The sequence below is a fragment of the Homo sapiens genome, chromosome 2 (assembly GCF_000001405.40).
Source record: "Homo sapiens chromosome 2, GRCh38.p14 Primary Assembly".
NCBI lineage: Eukaryota > Metazoa > Chordata > Mammalia > Primates > Hominidae > Homo > Homo sapiens.
This window is the reverse complement of record NC_000002.12, coordinates 162,489,486-162,514,278: the sequence shown is the minus strand read 5'-3', so window position 1 is coordinate 162,514,278 and position 24,793 is coordinate 162,489,486. Positions and strand designations below refer to the sequence as shown.

At 35.8% G+C, this 24,793-nt stretch overlaps 1 protein-coding gene, 1 long non-coding RNA gene and 1 pseudogene across 9 annotated transcripts in view, besides 1 other annotated feature; 1 reads left to right on the top strand and 2 right to left on the bottom strand.

Annotated features, from left to right (window-relative positions):
* Positions 1-24,793, top strand: part of KCNH7 (potassium voltage-gated channel subfamily H member 7) — a 467,361-nt gene that overhangs the window by 324,489 nt on the left and 118,079 nt on the right. For 3 of the 7 annotated variants that reach the window (XM_017005218.3, XM_011512109.4, XM_017005221.3), the window contains exons 5-7: positions 1,605-1,625; positions 2,056-2,079; positions 9,622-9,836. In XM_017005218.3, coding sequence (XP_016860707.1) covers positions 1,605-1,625; positions 2,056-2,079; positions 9,622-9,836 — 260 coding nt within the window. The remainder of the gene's footprint in view (positions 1-1,604; positions 1,626-2,055; positions 2,080-9,621; positions 9,837-24,793) is intronic. The other 4 variants (XM_017005219.3, NM_033272.4, XM_017005220.3 and 1 more) reach the window with 2 other exon arrangements.
* On the bottom strand, positions 15,234-23,945 carry LOC124906084 (uncharacterized). Of its 2 annotated transcripts, XR_007087278.1 has the most exons (3): positions 23,741-23,945; positions 23,331-23,498; positions 15,234-19,124 (listed from the first exon to the last, which is right to left on the bottom strand). It is a non-coding gene; the product is annotated as an uncharacterized LOC124906084 (long non-coding RNA). The 2 variants fall into 2 exon arrangements; XR_007087277.1 differs by having other exon boundaries at positions 23,331-23,945.
* RNA5SP109 (RNA, 5S ribosomal pseudogene 109) lies at positions 17,228-17,343 on the bottom strand (annotated as a pseudogene).
* Positions 23,904-23,963: an enhancer, noted in NCBI's record as "active region_16719". NCBI's record gives its function as "activates an Ori minimal core promoter by ATAC-STARR-seq in GM12878 lymphoblastoid cells {active_cell/tissue: GM12878}" and the evidence as "EXISTENCE:reporter gene assay evidence [ECO:0000049][PMID:35858748]".

Below are 24,793 nucleotides of genomic sequence, written 5' to 3'. Positions count from 1 at the left end.
TTTCTTGTAATTCTCTCAAAGAGGAAAGGGAGTTGTCATCTAAGGCCACAGTTTTATTTGTATATCTTTGTCCAATGCAATGTCTACGAGCAATTCAATATATCACATTATTAGAATTATTTCAGTTGTAAGCTTTGAAATTATTATGATATATCCCAAGATTTTAAATGGGCACAGTGTTAGCATAGATATCAACAAAATGCTGAACAGATTTTTCAAATCTTGGATATATTTGAATGGTTTTGATATGACAGTGACGTTTATTTTAAGCAAGTGTGTTTCATAGCTAGTAATGCATATTTTGTTAGTGGCAAGTATGCAACATTTAGATAGCTGATCTCAAAGTAAATCTGAAAATATTTAACTTAGATTTTAAAAGAGCCCATTTTATTACAAATAAAATTTTTCAATATTCTAGTAATTACACTGAATTCATTGTGACAACATTAACAAAAATGTTTACATTTTTTAAAACAATCTAATCTTTCATTTACTTCTTGCAATTATTTTTGCCTAAGAATGACTCTTTGAGTTATATTTGCTATTTTTAAAATATATATTGAAGTACATTTGGAGGAGGGCAGTTAATAAAATTGTGATTAATAATGTAAGTTGGAGCTAGGCAGAGTGGAGCCAGGCAGACTGGTGTGGTTGTAGTCCCAGCTACTAAGGAGGCTCAGGCACGAGGATTCTTGAGCCTAGAAGTTCAAGTCCATCCAGAGAGATATAGCCAGACCTTGTCCTGAAAGGAAGAAAGGAAGGAAGGAAGGAAAGAAGGAAGGAAGGAAGGAAGGAAGGAAGGAAGGAAGGAGGGAGGGAAGGAGAGAAGGAAGGAAGGAAGGAAGGAAGGAAAGAAGGAGGGAAGGAAGGAAAGAAGGAAGGAGGGAAGGAGAGAAGGAAGGAAGGAAGGAAGGAAGGAAAGAAGGAGGGAAGGAGGGAAGGAAGGAAAGAAGGAAGGAAAGAAGGAAGGAGGGAAGGAGGGAAGGAAGGAGGGAAGGAGGGAAGGAGGGAAGGAAGGAGGGAAAGAGGGAAGGGAGAAAGGGAGGAAGGCAGGAGGGAAGGAGGGAAGGGAGGAAGGGAAGGAGGGAGGGAGGGAGGGAGGGAAAGAAGGGAGGGAGGGAGGGAGGAAGGAAGGAACTGTTATCTTAGAAACATTTTCCTTATTAACATACTAGGTTAAATTATATGCAAAAAAACACTTAACATGCAAAATGTGGAGTCTTCCTTTGAGTATATTCTAAGTGATAGTTGAGGAGACACTAAAATTGGCTGTTGACAAGGTTGAAAGTTTTGTCACAACTGCAGCAGCTGGGGAAGTCTATTTCCAAACTGTCATAATTATAAAATCTGTACTTTGGAATCCATTTAAATTGAGATAAATGCTTCACATATTTAAATAAGAATGTATATTATGACAGATACTATTTTTAGTATATGCATGTTACTTGGTGGAATAGTACAAAATGTTAATTTCAATTAAAGAGAAATTTTCCATCATATTCTGATTTCTCTGATTGTTTTTATACAGGTAATTCAGTGTATATAATATAATTTTAGTCTTCTTTTTATATTTCTCTTTTTTTATCCTTATGTGCTCAAAACAGACAATGGTCGCAATGTCAAAGGTAATGTACAAACTCAAATTTCACCATCTGATGTTCAACCTGCCCCTTTACTCGGCATGTTAACTTGCCTGCTGTATGCCCTGTTCAGTGCAACATCTTCATGCTGCCCTTAGCTATTTGGGGTGCCTGGTGGAGACATCATGGCTTGATTTTGCTACAGACATTGTTATTTCTCTGCTGTGTTACCAAAATGATCATGAGCTCCTTTTGCCTGCAAGAATTATAAGCCTAGGTTGACAATGAATACTTCCTAAATATTTAAATCACTTGGAAAAACACAAATATCAAGCTAAATATATTCTGATGTGACAGAGGCACAAAAGCCTATTTCAGGAAAACAAAAAATTTGAGTGCAAGATTAAATAAAATAAGCAAAGTGCTACATGACAGCATCACTTCACTTGTTCCTCTTTTGTTTCCTCAAAACTAGTTTCACGTTCCTGGATGGCAGGGGGTATGGTTTTCAGCTTACTGTAGTAGTAAACTATATATGCATGACAGTTGTTTTCTATTTTTCTCTATTATATTTTAATCATTTTAATTTTGTTCTCTATTAATCTGAAATCACTGGCATGACCTACAACTACCATAGGGTTATATTTAACTGGGAATACTCTGGATAAATTTGGATTGGGCTGAAAATTTGGAATTCAATTCTGTTTTCTACTATATCATAGTAGATACAAGGATCACAAAATATGATAACCATATTATTATCATCAAATTGAAAACCATTGGGATTTGGTCTTTCAACATAGGCCATGCATGCTGCTGTGGGTGTGCAAATGGTGATTGTGACTTATTTTGTGCATGTGTGTTGCATGAACACGTCTCCACCAGTAACCGTCATTACTTAGAATTCACTGTTTTGACCACTCTCTCCTGTATGTCACTGGTACACTGACCACTGTGCAATTTTGTATATTGATTTCTCAATTGCTTCCCTAAAATAATTCAGAGCTGGTGATGGTTATGAATTAATAGCGCTAGGGAGCAAAAATGTTTGGTCAGCAACCTAGGGAAATTTGAAAATCAGGGAAATTATGGCAGTATCCCCCCAAACCCACCCCAATTTTATTTTGTAGGCACTTTAAAAGGGTCTATGCAGGTTGACCCCAATAGTGGGATGGGATTTCACCTACATCATTGTTCTTTTTTTTTTTTTTTTTTTTTGACCTGTCCACTGTGATTTCTAAAAGGGAGCAAATTAGTGTCAACTGTGTGTGGTGGTTTGCATTGACATAATTCAGAATGTAACCTCAAGAAGCAGGATACAGATAGTTCTTGCCAACTAGCTTTAGGATTTAACAATTAGCAGTAAATTAGTAGGCATTAATTAATTTTCTAGTGATTTTTAAATGTAGTGATAAATGAACCTAATTTTTCTCAACAAATAGAAAATTGGACTTGTTTAACTTTCAAACTACTAGTTCACATATATGTCAAAGTACAGCTATTTTATTTTAGTGTCATAAAACAATTCATTTACTCTCCAACCTTTTTTTCTCAACTCTCTCATTTTTAATAGGAGTAGTCTTTGAACACGGATATTCTTTATTTATTACATAGATTTCAGATTGCTCATCAATTTTACGATCACAATTTAAAGTATATGGTAGAATCATCAAAGTCAGAATTTGGCATTACAAATCTCTAAACCATTGCACAAAGTTTTCACATATTAATACTTAAGAAGTTATATCCCCAAATTGGAGAAAACATTTGCAAACTTAATTAAATTTAATGTAAATTTTCAATCCAAAGTCTTCATTACGTTTTTCAAGCTCTGGTTTTGAAAACTATTAACAATGTTTAAGTGTCTGCCTCTAAGATTTTTCACAAAGCCATTAACATTGCTAATTAGGTACAGGAACCCCCAAGTGTGCATTTTAAATTCTTTTGACTTTGCTTCTATACCAGATCTAAATAAAAAACTAAAAAATGCAGGTTTCTACACTGCTTTGTGTACAAAATGCATAATTATAATTAATTATTTCAATATTCAACCAAAAAACATTTTTTGGTTGAATTTAATTCTAATTATTTAATTCTGAATTAAATAAATAACGTAGGAATGTGTTGGTAATGTCTTCAATATCATCTGATTTATTCATGTCAGGTGAGGTATTGGCTAAATACCTTGCACAGGTGGTACATTTATCTCCAGAGGATGCCATTCTTTAACTTTCTCGGGAAGTCCGTGTTAGTGCCTGTTACACAAAGAGCTAACCTAAATCCTTCTTTCTGATATGTATTCTTTTCCCCTTCATCTGTCTCTACTGGACAGAGATACTAGCTGACTACTGCTAATCATGATGCAATATCACAGTAAAAAGACAGCAAATTGGTACTCTTTTTTCTAAAACTAATTTCCACTTAATCTTCTTTCTTAGGATCTATTTCGTTTCCCTTTAATAAATTTTCTTAGCATTATGATTCCTTAAGCTAACATTTCAAAGTTCTTTGTTAAAAATGTAAACCATTGTGAAAGAGTGGAAAAGTTATTTCAAATAAATTGCACATCCTGCATATACATATGTATGTATTATAATTTTTTAACAACTTCTCTAATATGTGAGAGGGGTACCTAATCCTACCTCCATCACTCATATATTAATTTTTACCTCCAACTTGGTGGCTTTTCTATTTTGCTTTACAAGTCATCAGTAAAAATCTACCTCACTTTCTCTACTTCGTAAATAAGTCATAATACAATTTTGCCCCTTTAATGCTCCCACCTCCTTGCTATCTCAAGTAACCCTGCTTCCCTCTGACATTGGTGTGTTCCATTTCCAATTAGTCTATGAATCTGTCATATGACTCTGAAGTAAAACTACTTTCAAGGTTTGTTACAGCTTTTATCTCCTCTCTAGCCTATATGACTCATAAATGAAATAAATGAATCTAATACAACTTGTTTCTCATAGGCTGCCTTGGCCATTACCCAGTATCTTGTCATCTGATAAGGATTTGCAAATTGATTTTCAATGATAACAGTTTACTCCTGCAAATAATATGTCATGCACTGAAACAGATAATATGAAGAAAAATAATTTGATGATTACTTCTTATGCATTTTTCTAAGTGCTAAACTGGTTGCCTTATACTTATTGATAGTGTTCTTTTACAAAGTTTAATTATTAAACACTGCATTTGCATCTTCTTTCATGTTAAGTCACTTGAGGAATTTGGGTTTTATTAAACTTTAGCTAAATAAACTCAGTGCCCTAAGATATATTGTACAAATACCTGATGATTTAAAAACAACCTTTGTCTGTTTGGTTTCCTTCTTTCCTATCACATTTGGCCCTCCAAAATGATTTTTTAAAGTAGCATTATTTTTTTAATCTATCAGATGCCCTTAGCTATATTTCCAGCACCATCTAAAAGAAAAACATATTCTCCTTTAGCATCTCATAACTCATGATAAATTTAAATAGCCTCATCGTATAAATTTTAAATATCTTTAAAATTCTTCCCAGTTGTTGCTTTAGCCTCTAGCTTCATGTCTAAATGTAGGTATTTCTTTGTAGTTGGAAATTGGCCTACTTTATGTTTAATCAGACCCTTGAAATATATTAAAGCACTCTCCAGCTGTTGGTTTAGTCTACTTGGTTACCTGTTTTCCACCTTCTCCTAATATATTGAAAAATGTAACCTGGTCATCCATCTTGCAAATGCTTCTCTGAAGAACATCAAGTCCACCTCTATGCTTCTGCGTTTTACATGACTTTCTACTGAATCTCTTATTTCCCTCTATTTCTGCCCATTCATTTCCTTTAAATTTATTTACTTTGTTTTTCAGGTTATTCTCCTTTCTTTCATTAGAATCCTAAATCCCATCTGTTCATGATCACTCTCAGTGAGGCTGCCTTTCACCTTTAAATCCTCAACCAAGGCCTCTCTGAATATAGACTTAGGAGGTAGGAAACCCTGCATTCTGGTCCTTTATTCTTATTCTTTTCTGGCCTCATATTCTGTCCACTTAGGTTTACAATCGGTGAAATAAGGATATTGTTAATACCTACCTTAGTTAAAATGTTGAAATTTTTTTCATTTGCATTTAGATGGGCTTAGAGGAATCTAAGCCAACACTGATCATCTTGAAGACTCTAGAAGTCTTCTGCATTTAAACATCTGCTTTAAAATCCGTAGAAAGAAGCATAATTATCTTTTTTATACAGCATGAAATAAATTTTAAATGCCTTATCTAAGTAGCTTGCACAAGTTATTTTAAGTAATATTTTAAGTTTTGCTGAATTAATTAAAATATAGATTAAAAGAAAATGTGGATTAACTATTTAAGACTAAGAGCCAAAAAAAAAAACCCAGAATAGAATAAGAGTTTAGAAGGTTTTTCTACCTGCAAATAAGAGAAGCTAAAATAGTGAATGCAATGAAGTTGCAAATTCTGAGGCCAAATTTGAGTATGACATTTTATCAACCAGTTTCTCAATCATATCAGATCCAATGTCTCCTTGTCTCATATTTTGTTATACTCATTTTCCTATCCTGAAATGGAACTCAGAGATAATTTAACCTATTTCTAAAATATCAACATGATTCCCTAACTGTAATATACAGGAGAAATAAAAGAAAAACAGTTTACAATAAAATATTTATTTCAATATGTTAGTGTTCAAATATAACTTCACTAGAAAACATAACACAATAATCAGACATATGAAGAAAACTTGGTTTTAAAAGCGTTAAGTACATGAGAAAGTATTCCATACAGGTACCAGATAAAATGGTACAGCAGGAGTATAAGTGGGCAGCATAATCAAAACTACCATTGAAGTCAAGAATTATATCAGACTTATTTATACATGAATTTTAAAAATGGGAAGTAACTAAAATTTAATTATGATTAATATACCAATATAAACTGAAGAGAAAATAAGGAAGTATGGTATTCTTATAAATGAGCTAGTTCTTGCTTTTAATAGTAGTGTCAAAATGATACCTTCTGTGATATAATGCAATAGTAGTGAATTGCACAGAAGAAAGAAATCCCACTAGATGTCAGGACATGTATTCATCCTCTAATACATTAGAAAAGATCCTGCAAACATGCTTTGTTATGTAATGAGAAATTGAAGATGGAATGGAAAATGAAATGGCAATTGAGACATTATAGAGAAGTTGTGGCAGATCTCCAGGGAGTTTTGAGAATGAGACTGAAAACCAACAGCCAACCCAAAGACAAATAATAATTACAAGTGTTTCATTTTTAAGAGATAGGTTCCTTTTCATAGTATGATATCATTTTACATACATAGGAAGATATTTATATAAAATATTTTTGAAGGAACTTTTATTAGTGTGATTTTGGTAATTCTTTGAAAATTTAATAATATTTGGTTCCAACACTGGTAAAGAAGACTCAAATCTCTTAGCTTACATATTTGCAAATAACAGCTCCAAACACAGATTGTAAACTAAACTCTGAAATATTCTATTGGCTACTCAAATGCCATGAGGAGTGTAGCTCTAAGTGACATAATCTTCCAAAATGATGAACAATTTCTGATAAAGTTCTGAATAAAACAATATATATTCTTACCTCTACATGGAAATTGTAGCTCTGGAAATTTCAATTTATATTAAAATCATGTAAAAAGCACATTGTGGTGTTTATATGTGAAACAGTTAGTTTTAAAGCTCAGTTCATGAATAAACAGGCTTTTCACCTGCATGAATGGCCTCGAGGCATGTAAGGCAATTCTTTAAGGCAGGCGAATTGTGACATTGAAATTCTTTCATAATTGTGACAACAAAAAATGCCCCCACAAATCTCCCCTAGAATGAAATACTACCATAGTTGAAATCACATGCTTATATAAGTGTAGCCAATTCAGAGGAGTTTATTGGCACTGGTCACAAGGGCAATTAAAGTAGATTAACAGTGTCTTTCTGTCTATTAACATTGTAGAATCGGTGATGACATCGATGATCCGTGAATTTAGCCAAATTTTAAATAACTCTGTGGACAATTTGCTACAGAAATGCAGCATAGAGAAGGATGATAAAAAAAGAGAGTGGAAAGATGAGCTTAAGGGCTTTGAATACAATTTAACTATATATTTGATCTCTGTTATCTATAATCTCTTAATAGTATCCCTGTTAGTTAAATAACCTAAGGATTGAAAATAGGACATTAGAGTTGGGGAAAAGACAATATCTAAGAAATCTGAAATCCTAGCATAATTTACAAACTGTAAATATTAAGATATAAAACCTAGAACTCAACTATAGAATGCTGCAGAAAGGGAAACACTATCCTGGTATGCATTACAATAAAATAAATTAGTGATGTGGGCTGGAGACTTCCAAAAAGACCTGAAGAACGGAGTTTCTGTCAGAGAACTATCTGAAGGCTAGATGAGTTTGTTGCCACTATTGGCTCTTATTTCTATCTTTGTATAAATAGTAAAGAGAGTTAGGTTCTATATGCAAATGAGAACATATGAGGCAATAAATTCCTGGAGAGCTCGTGACATTTTTCTTCTAGATGGACTTGGTCATCGTCATGGATAAGACTCAGGGAGTCAACAGAAATGCAACTCAAGAAACACAGTATTTGTTAAATACATGAAAATTTATTAAGATTACTTCAAACTTTTATAATAAACAAGTGTAAACTTTTATGAACAAGTATAGTGTGATTTTCCCCCATAGTGACTATGAACAAAATGATGAGCATTGATTTCTTAGTATTATATCTGACCCAAGTTGATTGATTATTGTCCAAAATGCAAAATCTTAAAGTCTAATTTTTAAGTGTTTATACCTTGCTTGATGCTTAAAGTACATTTTGATCCCGAAAATGGGTTCACGTCATTTTGAACAGGGAAAAAAATAACAAAGGCAACTATGCTGCCTAACAAGTTTATTGATGGAATTTGTATGTTTTAACCACTTCCTGGGGCACAAAAATAGGGAGCTCACGATTTTTATAAAATTCTCCCTGTTGTTAATTTTTAAGAGCTAAATAACAGTGTACGTAATATTGCTCATTACACGAGATACTTCTCAGAGAATTTCCTGATTCTCCATAAGCAACAGACAACAGATTCATCCCAAAGGAAGATACAGCTGGTCAGTCTACTCCCTCAACAAAGAAACCAGGAGTCTTGCCACCTTGCCAAGTTATCTTTGTAGGAAAGATTTTGAGAAGCGACTAGGTACTATCAACCCCAGGCATGCCCTATTACCTAGCTGTGGTCACTTGTATTGTAAGTTATGTTTGCCAGAGCATTAGTCTTTTGCGGTTTTTAATAGCGCCTTTTTTTTTTCTCAGAAAGTGGTCAAGACTTAAACATAAGTGAAAGAAAAAAAAGGATCTAAAAATCCCACATATGATCCAAGAGTTTTCAATAGAGTACACACATTCACACAAAAATGGCCTTTCACCCTCTGCAGCTTTATCTGTAATTCCTTCATCTGGGTTTAACTCTTTCAGAAGCTCTGTGGAGCATCTCATATAGGTAGTGGAAACATATGAAGAGCCTAGATGGCTTGTCACTCCTCAGTGACACAGACAGGGGAGTAACACAAATTGGAGCAGGGTAAACAATCCATTTGGAAATTTCATGGCCAATATGACTTTAACCATAGGTAAGTCCTTCTTAAATAATCCTCAAATTACAAAATGAAATTTATAAGAAACTTTAAAGGTAGAATTTGACCAGTAACAGAGAGTGTAGTTTTTTCTTTTATTCTAGCTTTTAATGAAAGAAACTAATTAACAGCTAAATCTGCCATTTGCTCTCTGGGTACACACTTAGAACCCAGTCTTATTCTCAGATACTCACATGCCATTCCATGTGGCCCAAGGTGACCCTAAGCCCTGTGTCCAGGTATAAGCTGGCTGCATTCAGTCACACTCAAATCAGGATCATATTGGTCAGGAATCATTAGCAGGGCATTCAGAACTGTCTCTTTCTTCTATATCTTCTTATATTACTCTTACAAATACTTTCCATTTTTTTAGGGCCTTTTAATCATATCAAGTCAAGCCTCCTGGGATCCACATCAGATTCAAACCTCAACAAATACAGCACCATTAACAAGATTCCACAGCTCACTCTGAATTTTTCAGAGGTCAAAACTGAGAAAAAGAATTCATCACCTCCTTCTTCAGATAAAACCATTATTGCACCCAAGGTTAAAGATCGAACACACAATGTGACTGAGAAAGTGACCCAGGTAGGACACAATTTTCTTATCAATTTCAACTGTTTTAGAGGTTTGTTTCTGCACCATGAAACATATTCTTTTTCTTATAAATGACTGTCGGTAGAGGTAAGACATTTTTTCTTTGTACTCCTATTTATCTTGAGATGTTGGGTAACTCTCTAATATAACAGATTAATAAAGCTGTATACTATGATTTTATATATTACAAGACTAAGCAAAAATGGGCTAACATGGCATGGTTGCTCCCACTTTCGTAGAGGTGGTTAACCTGCTATTCGTCGTGTTTGGACACTTAGTGTTTGGCTGCCAACTCTCACATTATTAAAACATGGTTTTTTAATATAATGGATGTGTCTATTGAAGCTTTAGGGGACTAATTAGCATTTGCTCTGAACTGTGGTATCCTTTTGGACTTACTCTACTAAATAGAGTCAGATCTAAGTCAGTTAACTTGGGGAAAAGAGCTGTCTGAGATGATGAAAAGTCAGTGGAACACCACATTTTATTGGAACAATATCTAATTGTTTTCAAATAAATACTGCAACTTGAACTAGGATGAAAAGCTAGCAGGTATACTGCTTCAGAGAGTAGATAAAAATGATTTCTACTTATTATATCAATATACCAACCTAAGCAGTACGTAGCTTTTGCTTACAGTGCACTTACATTGTTGGGAATTCATGACTTTAAAATTTGTCAAGCAAGCGGTTCTTTTACAAACAATTTACTCGGTATATTTGCTTAGCAAATCTTTGCATAAACTCTCTATAATATAAAGCCAAGCTTGCCCCCATTCTTTATCCCAAGCATTGAAGTTTTTGAATTAATGAAGTTTTTCTGTAATTGTAATCACTACAAACCACACTATAGTACTGTTTCCAGATAACCTCTTATGTGTGAGCTGAAATAGCTATGAAAAGACCATGAGCAAGTTATAAATAAACCTGTGCAGTCTATATTTATTTGAGATGAGAAATTATACACGCCATTCTTGAGAGCATTTTTTCTATATATTTTAATATTTATGTAGTGAAGAGGCTTTCTTTTCTTGGCATTTCACTTTTCTTAACTTATATTTAGTAAAATGGGTAAATGAACAGTTTACTGTTACGCACATTTTATTGACATCATTTTGATAGCTTTGTGTTTTCCTTTCAATTGTTTTTACTTTAAAAGTATTATTATTTATAGATTCCTACCATTATATGAATATATAGGAATCAAGAGACTTAAGAGGAGACAGAAGAAAAGTTGGAAATATTAGGATCAGGGCCCTGCAAGTGCATAAGGGAATAAAATTTAAAGAGAAGCACAGCATGGCAATGGGGACTGTGGCGAACTGTGGAGTGCAGGCCCCATCTAAAGCAGACAGCTGATATGCAGCTCTGTCTAACTGCGGTTAGGCAGAAATGCTTGACCAATTAATGAATGCTTGCAAATCTTTCCATTTTAAAAGAGAAGCTGGAAATGCAGAATTTAAGATAACCTCTTTATTTCTTAAAGTTGACAAATGAAAAAATGCCTTGAACTCTTTTTTAGGCTGAACAAAACACATCTTAAGGCCTGTGTGCAGCCATGTGGGATCTCAGCAAGTCTTTCATGTGCTTGGTCCACCACAGAGGCCACCCTATGCTGCCGTGTTCAGCAGATCCACTGTGCCAGGAGAACATGATACACACAGAGATCTGAGAAGCACCTGCTCTGGGGGCTTTCTCAGATAGTGGGACAGGAAGCATATATATAAATATCAATAATGAAATGCATGGTAATAAAGAATATTAGGGAGAAAGTTATTCTACTATAAGGGAAGAATTTGCAGGGAAGAAAAAGACAGGATTAAACATTTAAGCCAGATCTAGAAGGTCACATCAAACTGCGTAGTCAGTAAATTTTAAGAGCATAAATCAGAGTCAAACGGGATTGTGTTTTATTTCAGGCATTTATTGTAGGCCATGAATGCAAGTGGCATTTATTGTGTGACATTAAGGCAAATTTCAGGACTGGGAAACCTTACTTCTCAGAGTTGATATAAGAATTAAATAGAAATGTGGAAAGTGTCCATCCTAGTACTACGTACCATAACAAGCAATGTCATGTCATTATTATGTTTATTAATATTCTTCTATGATCCCCCAACTCTCTTCATTATCTCTGCAGGATCTCTTTATCCCTACATCACGAGGGCCTTAGTAGAACACCTGGCAGAATGGAGTTCATCAAATGTTTGCTGAATAAATGAGTGCATAAATGGATGGAAGAGTTAGCCAAGGGAAGGGATAAGAATTCCAGGTAGAAAAAAACACAAGAACAAAGTTATGAAAGCAGTAAAGTCCATATGACTTTTTAGAACAAGTGGTTTTCTGAGCTGGCGAGAGGCTAGTCTGGAAAATTTACCTTCAAAATAACACTTTTCTACCTTTTCACATAAGTGCCATGGGGGTTTGAGTAAAATGCAACAGTTTCCATCAAAAGCTTTGCATTTTTTTTGGTCTCACACTTTATCTTTAAAAGCCCTGTGACTTTCAAATTTAGCTTTGTAATATAGAAATATTTGTTTTAACATTTAAAAATCTTTTAAAATATTATTATAGACCTAATGTTTGTGTACCCACCAAAATTTATGTGTTGAAACATAATCACCAGCATGATGGCATTTGGAGGTGGGACCTTTCAGAATAGGTCATGAGTGTGGAGATCTCATAAATGGGATTAGTGTCCTTGTAAAAGAGGCCCCAGAGAGCTCTTTGGCCCCCTTCTGCACTGTGAGGTTACAATGAAAAGATGGAGCTTATTTATGAACAAGGAAGCAAGCCCTCATCAGGCATTAAATAGGCTGGCAACTTGATCTTGGACTTCACAGCCGCCATAACTGTGGACAATACATTTCTCTTGTTTGTAAGCTACCCAGTTGATGAGTATTTTATTTTAGCAGCCCAAATGGACTAAGATGACTACTTACCACTGAGTGAATCTGAGGCCCACAGAAAGACCCCAGAGTTTTCCTAAAGCTTCTTATGCTTCCCACAAATTGTGGAGTATCCCCCTCCCACTCTCCAAAGTACCCCAACTGGAGAGGTATGATACAGGCAAAAGCCTTTTTCAAACTGCTGGAAGATCAGAATTTGATCATATTTTATAAAAGTTCTCTCTTTTTTTACAGTGTAAAAAATACAATGAATGGGAGGAAATTCTGGAGTCAGGTGAAACACTTAAGTTGCTATGGTCCTTGCTAGAAATAATAAGGGACTGAATAAAGGCTGAGACCAGAAACTGGGAAAAAAGGCATCAGTAGGAATGCTTTATCTTCTTTGTAGGGGCCCCTTTTAGCTCTTAGTGACAAACCTTCCAATTGTCCACATGTCAAACCAAACAATGTAGAGATCAAATATCAAGAACTTCCTCCTGCAGGCATAGCCTCTGGAAATTTTATTTAAGCACTTGAAAGCAGAGCTCTTCAATAACTCATTTATAGGATTACATACTTCATTTTGTATTTGTGAAGTTTCCTAATTGCAGCTATCTTTGAAATTTCCATATTCACTACTTTTAACATTAGTTGTCCTCTGGTCACCAAAAACAACTTAGTAATAACCAAAAGACTTTACTTGTCTTTTTATTTTCTTTAGGCCTGCATGGAGATTCTCTTTGTCAGGAAATTTTCAACATGTTTGCTGTAGGCAGCCAGCAGTATTTCCTTAATCCAATGTTCTTTCTTATTTTATTCACGTAATAGATTTGTATGATATTTCTTTCTTCAAAAGAAGTCAAGATTTTGCTTATAGATTATTCAACAATAAATTTTAAACACTCTACAGTGCACAAACAATAGAGTAGTCATCAAGAGAAAAAGGCATTGATGAAAAGAATAATCGCTGCTCCTGTTGTTCTGTCTCACCACTTGGATCTTATCTCTATTACACGTTAAATTAGAATTAGGCAATTAGTTATTTACCTCCTCAGTTAGAGTCATCTTCTTCAACACAGGGACTATGTGGTCATTCATTCATTCATTCGTTGGTCATTCATGTATTTGTTTATTCATTCAAAAGCATGTATTGACATGTATTATATATAATATATACATTATATACTATATACTATATATTACATGTTATGTGTATATATAATATACATATTATGTGTGTATATATAATATACATGTTATATATTATATGTGCTGAATATAATACATACATACATAGTATGTGTATATGTAACATACATATTATATATTATATTGTATATAACATGTAATGTATATAATATATGTATTGTATATAACATATAAATGTATATCAATATGTATATTATATATAATGTATAATATATATCCATATATAATGTATAAACACACACAGTGCTAGGTGCTGGGAATTCAGAATTAAAAGGCAAATCTCTGCCTTTGAGTCTCGAAGGAAGTAGAGAAGTACAGTACATTGACTTTACAGTGCAATGTAAAGTATTTTTCTATGGGTAAACACTGTGTGTGCAGATGGTGCTGAGAGAGGAAACCTTAGCTACATTGGGAGTTTGGGATAGTGTTTGGGGAATATAAACCCTTAAGTGCGTTTTGAAGGTGAGAAGTTTCCAAAATAAGGAATAAAAATCTGGAGTGAAACACATGTGGGAATCTCTAGGTACCAAAGAATGAATGCAGCATGAGGTGTTTGTATGACCAGTGCCTGGTATGATTATATGACACATAGTAGCATCTTAAATGATTCAAATGAACCACTGAGGGTATTGCGTGGGATTAAGCAAGAGTAAGTCTGCAGTCAAAAATCTCCAAAGCAAATGCCTTCCTTCTGAAATCTTTTGTTAGGCAAGACTTCAATTCTTGCTGTTATTTTGGATCCATAGTCCTCTTTTGGCCTTATTGGTCTTCTGGAATGCATCATGTCATATTTCATTTTGCCATATTTCATCTCACCTTCTTTATTTATTTGGAGAAAAGAGAAAATAATTCTCAGAAGATGTGTGTGTTTTTTTTCCTGCACTACAGTCCAGCCAGTAAAGGCTGATGTGCAGTAGTGTACATCTCAGGGAGGCAAGCCCTTGGCTGGCCATTTCTACCAAATTCCAATGGAGTGGTGGAGAGTAAACAATGAATTGTAAGAAAATTTGGGCGGAGAACAAAGGTAAGGTCTCCTTTTACCAAGCAGTTGCACTTCTCAATTGAAGATCAAATTATTGGCTATATTTGCCCCCTTTTAAATAAAAGTGAACCACACTTTTGCACTATTCTAAGATTTTGTTATTCCTGAGGCTAGTTTAGTTCAAATATTGTGCCAATTTTTAGGATGAAACATATTATTTTGTTGCCATATTCAGCTTTGACAAGTTTTGTATTAGACCACTCTCCCTGGATAAGTATGAGTATCCGAATAGTTAAAGAAGATGGTGCCGTGGATTTCAAATCTTTATTGGCCATTGTATCAGTCAATACTGTAACAGAATGCAAGTAACAGAAATCCAACTCAAACCACTTTAAGCAAAAAAATGAAAGGAAGAGGGGAAGTTTATTGGGCCATATTACTGAAAGGTACAGAGAAAGATCTGCTTTGGGGTGAGCTATATACATTTTTGTGTAACTAGTGACATTCTCTCCCTTGCTTCTGTGTTGACTGCACTCCCCACCTAATAGCAGCAAGTTCCTCAGACTCTCCTGTCTCACCTAATGCTCACAGTTAGTAATTTGGGGAGAAGGACCTTCTTTCTTCCAGTGTCCATATTATTCCCAGAAAAAGAAGACTCTTATTGACCATCTTGGGCCATGTGATCATCTTGTGGAGGAAAAAGTATAGTCCCTTGACTGACAGTCACACCAGAAAAATGCAGAGGGAGAAGCAAGCCTGTAAAGCAGGAGAATCAAACAGCAGTGGCCCATTGCAGAGATGAAGATAGGAATTCAAATTAACAGCATTAACCACACACACGTGCACACCCCCACCCTCCCCCCCACACACACAGAGTCCACATTGGGCAGTGGGTAGATTCTAGAAACACAGAAATATAAAACCTAGTATAGATACTCAAGACATTATAAATTACTTGGAGAAACACTACATAACAGTATATAGCATTTACACATGCTAATTATTAAATTAAATTAAATTAAATTAAATTAAATTAAATGCTACAAGGCCATATTATGAAAGTAACAATAGTTTACATTTCCTTTAAACTTAGTATTTGTCGTACTATGACCAAATAGTTCTATAAGTTGGCCTTTATTACATAAGAGGAATGTCTGGTGAATTCAGTGGAAACCCATTTTGAGATAATCAGGAAATAAGATGTGTGAAGGGACCTTAATGAGCCAGAAGGTATTAATCTGTGGAACAGAAGATGAGAAAAAATTTACTACTAGTCCACAAGTATAATTTTCCTGTAGCTTTACTAAGGAAAGTACTCAAGAAAATTAGTTCAGATTTAATCACAAAATAACTTAGGTCACAAGAAAGAAATTTCTGAATATTAAAAAAGCCATATAATCTTTAAGTCTATGTAGACTTTAGAGCCATAATAGATTCCCAACATTTAGGATTCATGTAAGTATATTATTGGCATGAAAATAGAATTATGGTAACTTTCATGATTTCTGACATTGATTGAGCATTTAATATGTGCCAGGCTCAGTGGTAAATGGTTTAGTGGATTCTCAATTTTAATCTGTATGACAGCACTGTGAGATTGTGCCGTTATTATCCATATGCATTTCATAGAGAAGAAATTAAGCTTAGAGAGTGGAGGCAACTTGCTTAGGTCTTATAGTAAATGATGGACGTAGCCTTCAAACTGAGGTAATTTGATTCCAAAAGTGAAGTTCTCATTCTCTAAAATATATCCTCTTTATGATTCTGTTCTGTTTCCCCATTTGTCCCCTAAATCTCCTCAGGAGTTACTGTGGCAGTTGGACATACTTGTAACATTTGACTGTGACACCAAATGTCCTAATCTGAGTGGTTAGTTAACTCTTCAAAAAGCCTACAAAGCTATCATTGCCATGGAGGTTCATTTCCAGCACGGTCTCTTGTTTAAATTTATATACCATCTACTTTATGCTGATTTCAGATTAGAATAGTGGGATGGGGGTTTTTGTTGGTCGTATGCTGCACAGTTACAGAAAAAGCAAAACCACCCTGATATTACTGACTTAAAGAAGAACTGAAAGATTATGGCCTTTTACTTATATTGAACTTTGTTCATTATGAACAGGTTCATTATCTCTTCATTGTGACTCAGTGTTTCTCAATTTATGCTTATTTTTGACATAAATCCAAAACAAGTATTTATGATTTAGTACTTCTTTAGGAATGCAGGCTGATTTGTAATGAAGAAATTTTAATGAGGAAATAACATTGACTTTTTCTTCTTAGCTAATGTTTAAAATTATTTGTCATCTCAGGCTTAAGAGTACAAAGTTTCTCCCATCCAAGTACTAACCAGGACCAACTCTGTTGCATTTCTGAGATCAGATGAGATCACATGTACTCAGGGTGGTATGGCCGTAGATATTAGTACAAAATATCTTAACATGTTCTGTAGTTTCCTTCAAATTGGATAAATTTAGTCCTGAATTTCTTCAATGACATGATTTGAAAAGTCTTTCAGATACAACAACAAACAAAAAGTGGTTTTATATATAGCAGTACTTTTCAATAATAATTTCATGGTTTTAAAATTATACTTAAGGCAAATTTTCAACAATTATTTGTATAAAGACTCATTGATTCTTCACTCTTGAAATTACTAAAAACAAAATTCACAATACTGATGCAGGATTTTTTGCTCCTTAGCTCAGCTAGGTCTGGGTTCTTGTCTCATGACCAGGAAAAAGTAGGCACATGGATACTCAAAGAATGAGTGGAGTAGAATTTTTTAAGTGAAAGGAAAGCTCTCAGCAAAGAGAGAGGGGCTCTGAAAGCGGGTTCCCAGTTTCCCCCCTTCTCAGTTGAATACAAAGGCTTCTATATATCTAAGCTGATGGGGCTGGGTTCCATATTTGTATAAGGCATGAATTCCAGGTGGCTCCCCTCCATCCCCCCAGTGCGCATGCGGGCCCTTAGTCCACTGCAGGCATGCTTAAGAGAACTGTGTAAGTTCTCTTATCTGCACAAAACATCTGGTGTCAGCACTTGTGGGGCTGGTCACAGGTTCTCTGGGGACCTTTCCTTACTGTCTGCCTAAAGAAAGCTAACTCCTTTCATTCCCTTCTTCAGGAGTGGAGACCCCCAACGGCTGTTGGGGAAAGTAGACAATCACCATTCTAAACTGCTTCCTGCTGACAGGGAGTTCTGTTTTGGGAAAGTGGCAGTTAGGGCTCCTCCTGAGGTCTGTTTAAGGGTCCATGGAAGAATGGCACATCCATGCATGGTTTCATTTGCATCGCCATTTGAAGTTTAATGGCCTTTTAGCAAGAAGAAGCAATTTGGGTTATCAGAAGCTGTAAATCAAAATGAATCAAGGGAGTAAGGACAGCTCCACAATCCCAAGATTGCTGACATGCCCAGATAACTGGTGGCTATAGTTATCCCTGCTAAGATTTGGATGCATGGGGCTTAGCTTTGGTTGACTCCCTTGGTCTTATTTTCCCAAACAAAAAAACCTCCAGGATTTGCAGGATAATTGCCCAGAATTAAAATATTGATCCAGATTTTTACATTATCCATCCCTTTTGTTTCTTCTGAGCTGCAGCTGGGTATCACTGGTTTGTTCACAGGAATAAGCAGGATTAGTCTAAAATGTTGGCAAAAGCTTGAAAACAACTGATGAGATTAGAATGGAATCACAAGTGTATGTTAAGTTTTGAAACAATTTTTCTCTCTCCAGTCCTCATTTTTGTCAAAAACAAATCATGATAGGACTGAGTTCTTTGTAAAATAAACTTAAGTCTTATACTTGGCTTGATTATCTGCATAAAGTACAGCAAGAATAGTTATATTTAACATAGGCTTTTAAATTGGCTTTAATAGAACTCTGTTCTACAAGGAATCTCAGATAAGACCTTTTAAAGCCTAGCCCAGCCATGGATTTGTACTCTGAAATACCTATGATTTGGGCAAATTCCTCTCTTCTTGAGGTCCCCAGAACATAGGGCTCCTGGGCCTGTTAGAAAGTGACATTCTTTACTCACCACAGGTTAGGAACCCTGTACAGGGACTCTTTAGACAAGGTATGAGGCCAAAGTTCCTAAGGAGCTTTAATTGGTTCTGCAGGTCATGCTTGATTCCTTAAAGGGAAGCACATCCTTCCAGTCAAAGCCTTGGTAAAACAACCAGTTTCTCCAATTGTGACCTGTTATAAAAAGATAATGGATTCTTACTGCACTGATGCAAATAAATATATTGCCGTAAGTTAAGAATACTCACAAATAGTTTACAAATTCTGGAGAAGCCAGGCAGAAAGAAACAAATATGCTCAAAATTTTGTTCACAGGAGTATAGCTTACTCAATTATTAAAGGCTCTAAATAGTTCAAAATAAATTTCCTTGACTCTGAAAAACAAAACAAGGATCAACAACATTTTAAGTAAAAAGTTAAATGATTAATTCAGTTTTCTATTAGTTCAGTCCATTCAGTTAACTCTTGTTCTGCTTGATATTCATGAGCATTTCAGCTCTTTATGAGTCCCATATGCTTCCCTCTATTCCAATGCCACAATCTCCAAAGATATCAGAAACTTGTGTTTCAGAGCTCCTGTCCAAGTCCTATATCTGATTATAAACCATTTTTTGGAAAGGATCAAAGCAAGACAACAATTGTCTGTGAATGACAAAATACCCAGGATAGTTACAGTCAAAAACATGATTGACAAAGAAATTTGGTTATTTCTGTAGTTTACAATAGGTTAACATAATAACCTTTATTATGATTGATAGCATGTACTCAGACATTAGAATTTTAGACATCCCATACAATTTTGGAACATATACACTTATTGTTCACTAAAATATAACCTAAAGAAGATAAAACATCACTTTGGAAATAACTAAAAATGTCAAATAATCCTGTTTACCTATCTTTTGGATGCTCCAGGGGCCCTCTCTAGCATCTAAAAGTTAGGGGTCAGGAAAGACAACATTGAAACTGAAGTTTGATTTTGTGAAGCCTACCAAAAGAGTAAAGGTTCACAACACTTGATATTATGAAATAGAATTCCAGATTACCCTAAGTTATTTAGCCAAAATCATGACTCAAAAATTTTAAGAAAGACCAAAAACCTCTTATTATCCTTTACTATTACATGAAAATCTTGTTCAAGAGACAGAAAGCCAAATTTTACCCTTGCATTAGTCTACTATTAATATCAACCCCAATTTTTAAATGAAACCTTAAACATAATTCTATCTCATCTTAACCAGTTTGACCTTGCAGTGAGATTCTTGTAAACCTTTTATAACCCTTTACAAATCTTTGTTAAATAACAGATCAATACCTTAAGAAAACCTTGTCGTGCTTTTATTTCAATACTCAGTTTATGGAAAAACTATATAGTACCTTTTTGAAGTTGGTCAATATGTTCACACACAGAATTTCTTTTGCAAGATTCTTTTTTACAAATCTTCCACCATTTGTTTAAACCTTCAGCTTTATCTTTTCTATTTCAAAACTATTCTCTAACCCTAAGCAAAAATTTACATTCTCATGCCTTCTTATAACCTTTTACTAAAAACGCATTTTACTTTCCTTACACAGCTTGTATATAAATCTATTTTCAGTAGTCTCAATTACATGTTATGATGGCAACTCTTAGCAATTTTTAATTTTAGTGTAAAACCTGGTAAGTTATTTTAATTATGTACTAGGCACAGATAAGATCTGACTCCAGCATAGTTAGTGACGTGGTTAATTCCATATGTCCCTAGGCCTTACCAAATTGTAAAGCAGGCAAGTTGAGCAGTTCTCAAAGGCTAAAGAAGCAGCTTATAACCTTAAAACATTTAGCAAACCTAGTATCTGACCTGCATACTTTAGACCACATATTTACATTTTGAAGACATTTGTATTTTACCAATAATCTTTAAGACTTTTATTTCTCAAAGATTAAAGTCACATGAACTAAAAGGCATTATAGCTTTTATTTTTCCTTCAAAAAATATTTGATCTAAGTGCTTATTTTTCTTTAAGCCAATTAATTAGAGCTCTATTTCTATATAACCATCACACATCTAACACATATATGATTACACAGACAGAAGAAGATCCAATAGTTGTAAGAATTTTCATTTGCCTATCTCCTAATTGAAATTACTGGACTCAGGGTATAGCTCTCCAAGAAGCAGGGCTAGGGAAACATGTAGTTTCCCAGGCCAAAAAGCAGGCATACCTGGAAGACAAAAACAAATTTTGAGAGGGACCTATTTGCTTTTAATTCCTGGGGTTCCATGAGGAAAACAAATATTTTTTTCCCAAAATGGAGTCTGTGGCACCTTCTCTGTTTTTCCCCAGGCATCCCAGGCCATCAGAAGTTATCTTAGGGCCTCTGACTTGTGCATTAAGAGTGGCAAGACAAAATGGAGAAAAGTAATACAGTTGACTGAGAAAAAAACCTTTTCCAAAAAAAAAAAAAAAAAAAAAAAAAAACAAGATCCAAGAAGAGAAAAACATAGAGTCCTTTTAGATATATCTATAGCTTGGAGATCCATTTTTAATTAAATTGAGTACACTTTAAGGAAATCCTTTTAAATTCCTTATTACCTGATTTTAGCCATGCAAAGCGGCCAATATTTCTGGCTTTTGAGCTTTACCAAAATTAATCTCACAGGTGAAGCCAATAAGCCTCAACTAAGGTTATGACTTAACCTTAGTGTTCAAGGTGTTCAATGTATTTTCAGAGGTGGAAAACAGTTTTTACAAAATCTGGAATCTTTATAGGTAGCTCAGGGAAGGGAAGATTTAAGAAAGGAAGCTAGAAGTTGTTCATGGAGGGGAAGATAATCACCAAATGGTAAAAAGTCACAAAGGTATTAACCAGAAAGTACTCATTCCCTAAGCCAGGATTGATACCATGTGGCCATTAAAATGGCAAAGACCAAAAGAGAGTACTGCCACGTGGTTACAAGGTCAAGCCCCCAAAGACATAAAACAAGATGGAGACTTGCAGCAAAGTTTGTTACTGACCAATTTGCTAGGCTGGCTTAAACAGCAGGCTTATGGGAGACTAGGCCCACGTTCTAGCCTGAAGTACCCCTCTTTATGACAGAACCATACAGAAAGACACACAAAGTGCACCAGATTGGCTACAGCTTAAGACAAGGCACAAATCCTTTTTTCCATTAATCAAAACTTTACAGAGGATATAAGCAGTAATTTTATCATTCATTCAACTGGTTTGCACAGGGAGAGGGAGGCCAGAAGTCTGACTGGTAAGAACTTTTGCCCTTTTCGGGGCATGTCAGGCTTCTGGGTTCCCTTCCCCTGAGCTCATTTAAGCTAAGCAGTTTAAAGTTTGGGGATCTTAACTTTTCCCCATTTGAGGATGCATCTAAGGGAAGTGTCCTGTAGTACAGGACACAATTACCCATCCACGAAGAGAAGACAGAGTTCGAGGAAAAAGAAGGCTTTTTTTCCCCAAAGGAATCCCAGTGATTCAGGAGGCATTTGAGAGAAGTACAGACTGAAGATGAATGGCTACCCATCTAGAAAGAGGGGAAAAAGGCATCCCTAGGTCCTTTCTCTTCCTAGCAAATACCTGGGGTACGTGAGGGAGAGAAATAATGGTGTCCCATTCTTTCTTCTGTCCTTATATCCCCGAGTCCTGGCAACCTCGGCAGGGTGCCACCCATGAATGCCAATGCAACTTTTCACCCATGTTAACAGGGAGGCCTAATGGGTGGGAATTATCCACATTTACCTACACGCAGACTCCTTCCTGCTGTTGGTAACTTTTGAGTTCCCTATACCTTGTCTGTGTCATAGATACTAGCATGACCTCTATCTATGAAATGGGAGGGGGCCTAATTGTCAGGAATCAGTCATGCTAAGGTAAAGCTGTGGAGCTGGGTCCCCCTCAAACAAGGGAGAGGAAAGGGAGTCCCGTGAATTGGGGTCCTGGCCTAGTAAAATGCCTCTCAAAGGAAACAAAAAAACCTCTTGCATAGAAAAGCTGCCCATATCCGCAGGGCTGTGTTAACTCCTGGCACTGTGGGAAAAAGAAAAATAAACAGTTTAAGTGCAGGGTGGGGACAATGCCTGGGGGAAAAACCTCTAGCTCTATGCAAATGTGTTTCTCCACCAGGGAGAGAAACTCTTAATCTTTGTACCCTCTTGGCTCAACCAGAGGAGGAAAGGCTCCACAGGTTCATGGCAGGATGGGTCGGAGAGTGGGAAATGCTGGCCAACAGGCTGCATGAGGGCCTTGGCCCCCGAGATTGCCTTGGTACCCGGGAAGCAGCCACAGCTTATTCCTGTCCTGCGTGGTCACTGAACGCAGCATATGTGTGTGGCAGACACAGCCATGTACCCCAGCTGGGAGGGGAGGTTGGAGCAGGGAGTGCATACCTGTGGCCATTGGGTGGAGCTGAGGGATGCCTCTAAGAACAGATGGAAATCACATTATCCTGAATTGCATATCTGGTGGCTTGGCCAAATGCTCATTCTACATAGTAATATCTCTGCAGTTTGCAGCAGCACCCTTAACATCATTTAAAAAGAGGTGCCATGACAGCCCTGAAAAAGAAAGAAAATGCCATAGAAAAGTCTGGATTGCAAAGAGGCTGACATTCCCAAGCCCTGAGAGTGATGGGCAGGGGTGTTGTTGGGGTCCTATCTAGCATCCTGTCCTCTGTAGCTGCGCCATTTATTCTTAATTGGCTCACAAGAGGTTTGGTGCTGCATCAGCCTTCAGAAAAAGTCTGAGGACTAGAAGTCTCAGAAGTGAAAGTGAAAGGTTTTGGGTCTCATTTACTCACCCTCCAGGCATCCTGTGCGAGCTCCCAAAATGACACAGGATTTCTTGCTCTTTAGCTCAGCTAGGTCTGGCTTCTTGTCTTACAACCAGGAAGAAGTAGGCATGCGGAGGCTTGAAGAGTGAGTGGAGTAGAATTTATTAAGTGAAAGGAAAGCTCTCAGCAAAAAGAGAAATCCTGAAAGTAGGTTCCTGGTTGCCCTCCTTTTCAGTTGAATACAAGGGCTTCTATATATCTAAGCTGATGGGGCTGGGTTCCCTGTTTGCATAAGGCACTAATTCCCGGTGGCTCCACCTAATCCCCCTAGTGCACATGTGGCCCCTTAGGCCACTGCGGGCATGTTTGGGCAATCTTCCTGTGCAAATTCCCTTGTCTGCACAAAACATCTGGTGTAAGAACTTGTGGGGCAGGTTGGTGGTTCTCCAGGGACCCTCCCCTTACTGTCTGCCTAAAGCAAGCTGGCTAACTTCTTTCCATACCTCTAGAGTATGATTAACGTGTTCTCCTAAACTTCATTTTGGATCTAAACCAACTTATATATCATATAAACCTCAATAAAACTATATTGAATTCATCTTGAATTGCCAAATAATGGTAATCACAAAATTCCAGATTAAATTTGGGATGTAATGCAGGAGTACAAAATTGCTTCTGAGCAATTCCAATTTAATAGAACATTAATTTTGCTTCCATTATCTTGTTGTTATTTATAGAATACCAGCAAGCTTGGTTCAGCAAAACAGAAATTCCTATCCAATGTTTTTCCCATATTCTGAGTTTAGTCTGTAAATAATATTTAAATACGCAAATTGAAATGACAATATATCTGGAAGCTATAAGAATTGTCATTAGGGTAATTATGGATTCAATATTTGTCATTGTTTGCTAAATATAAGTCAAATGTTATGTACTCTGGCTGATATAAAAACATGTAAATAAGATCATTGTCTTCAAGGGCCTTTGATTAAATAGAGACTTTGAGTTTTGAGATCTTAGATTATGTTTTCTAGTCGTCTCTGGTCAAATAAATATATTCTATTATCTAGTCCAAGCTTG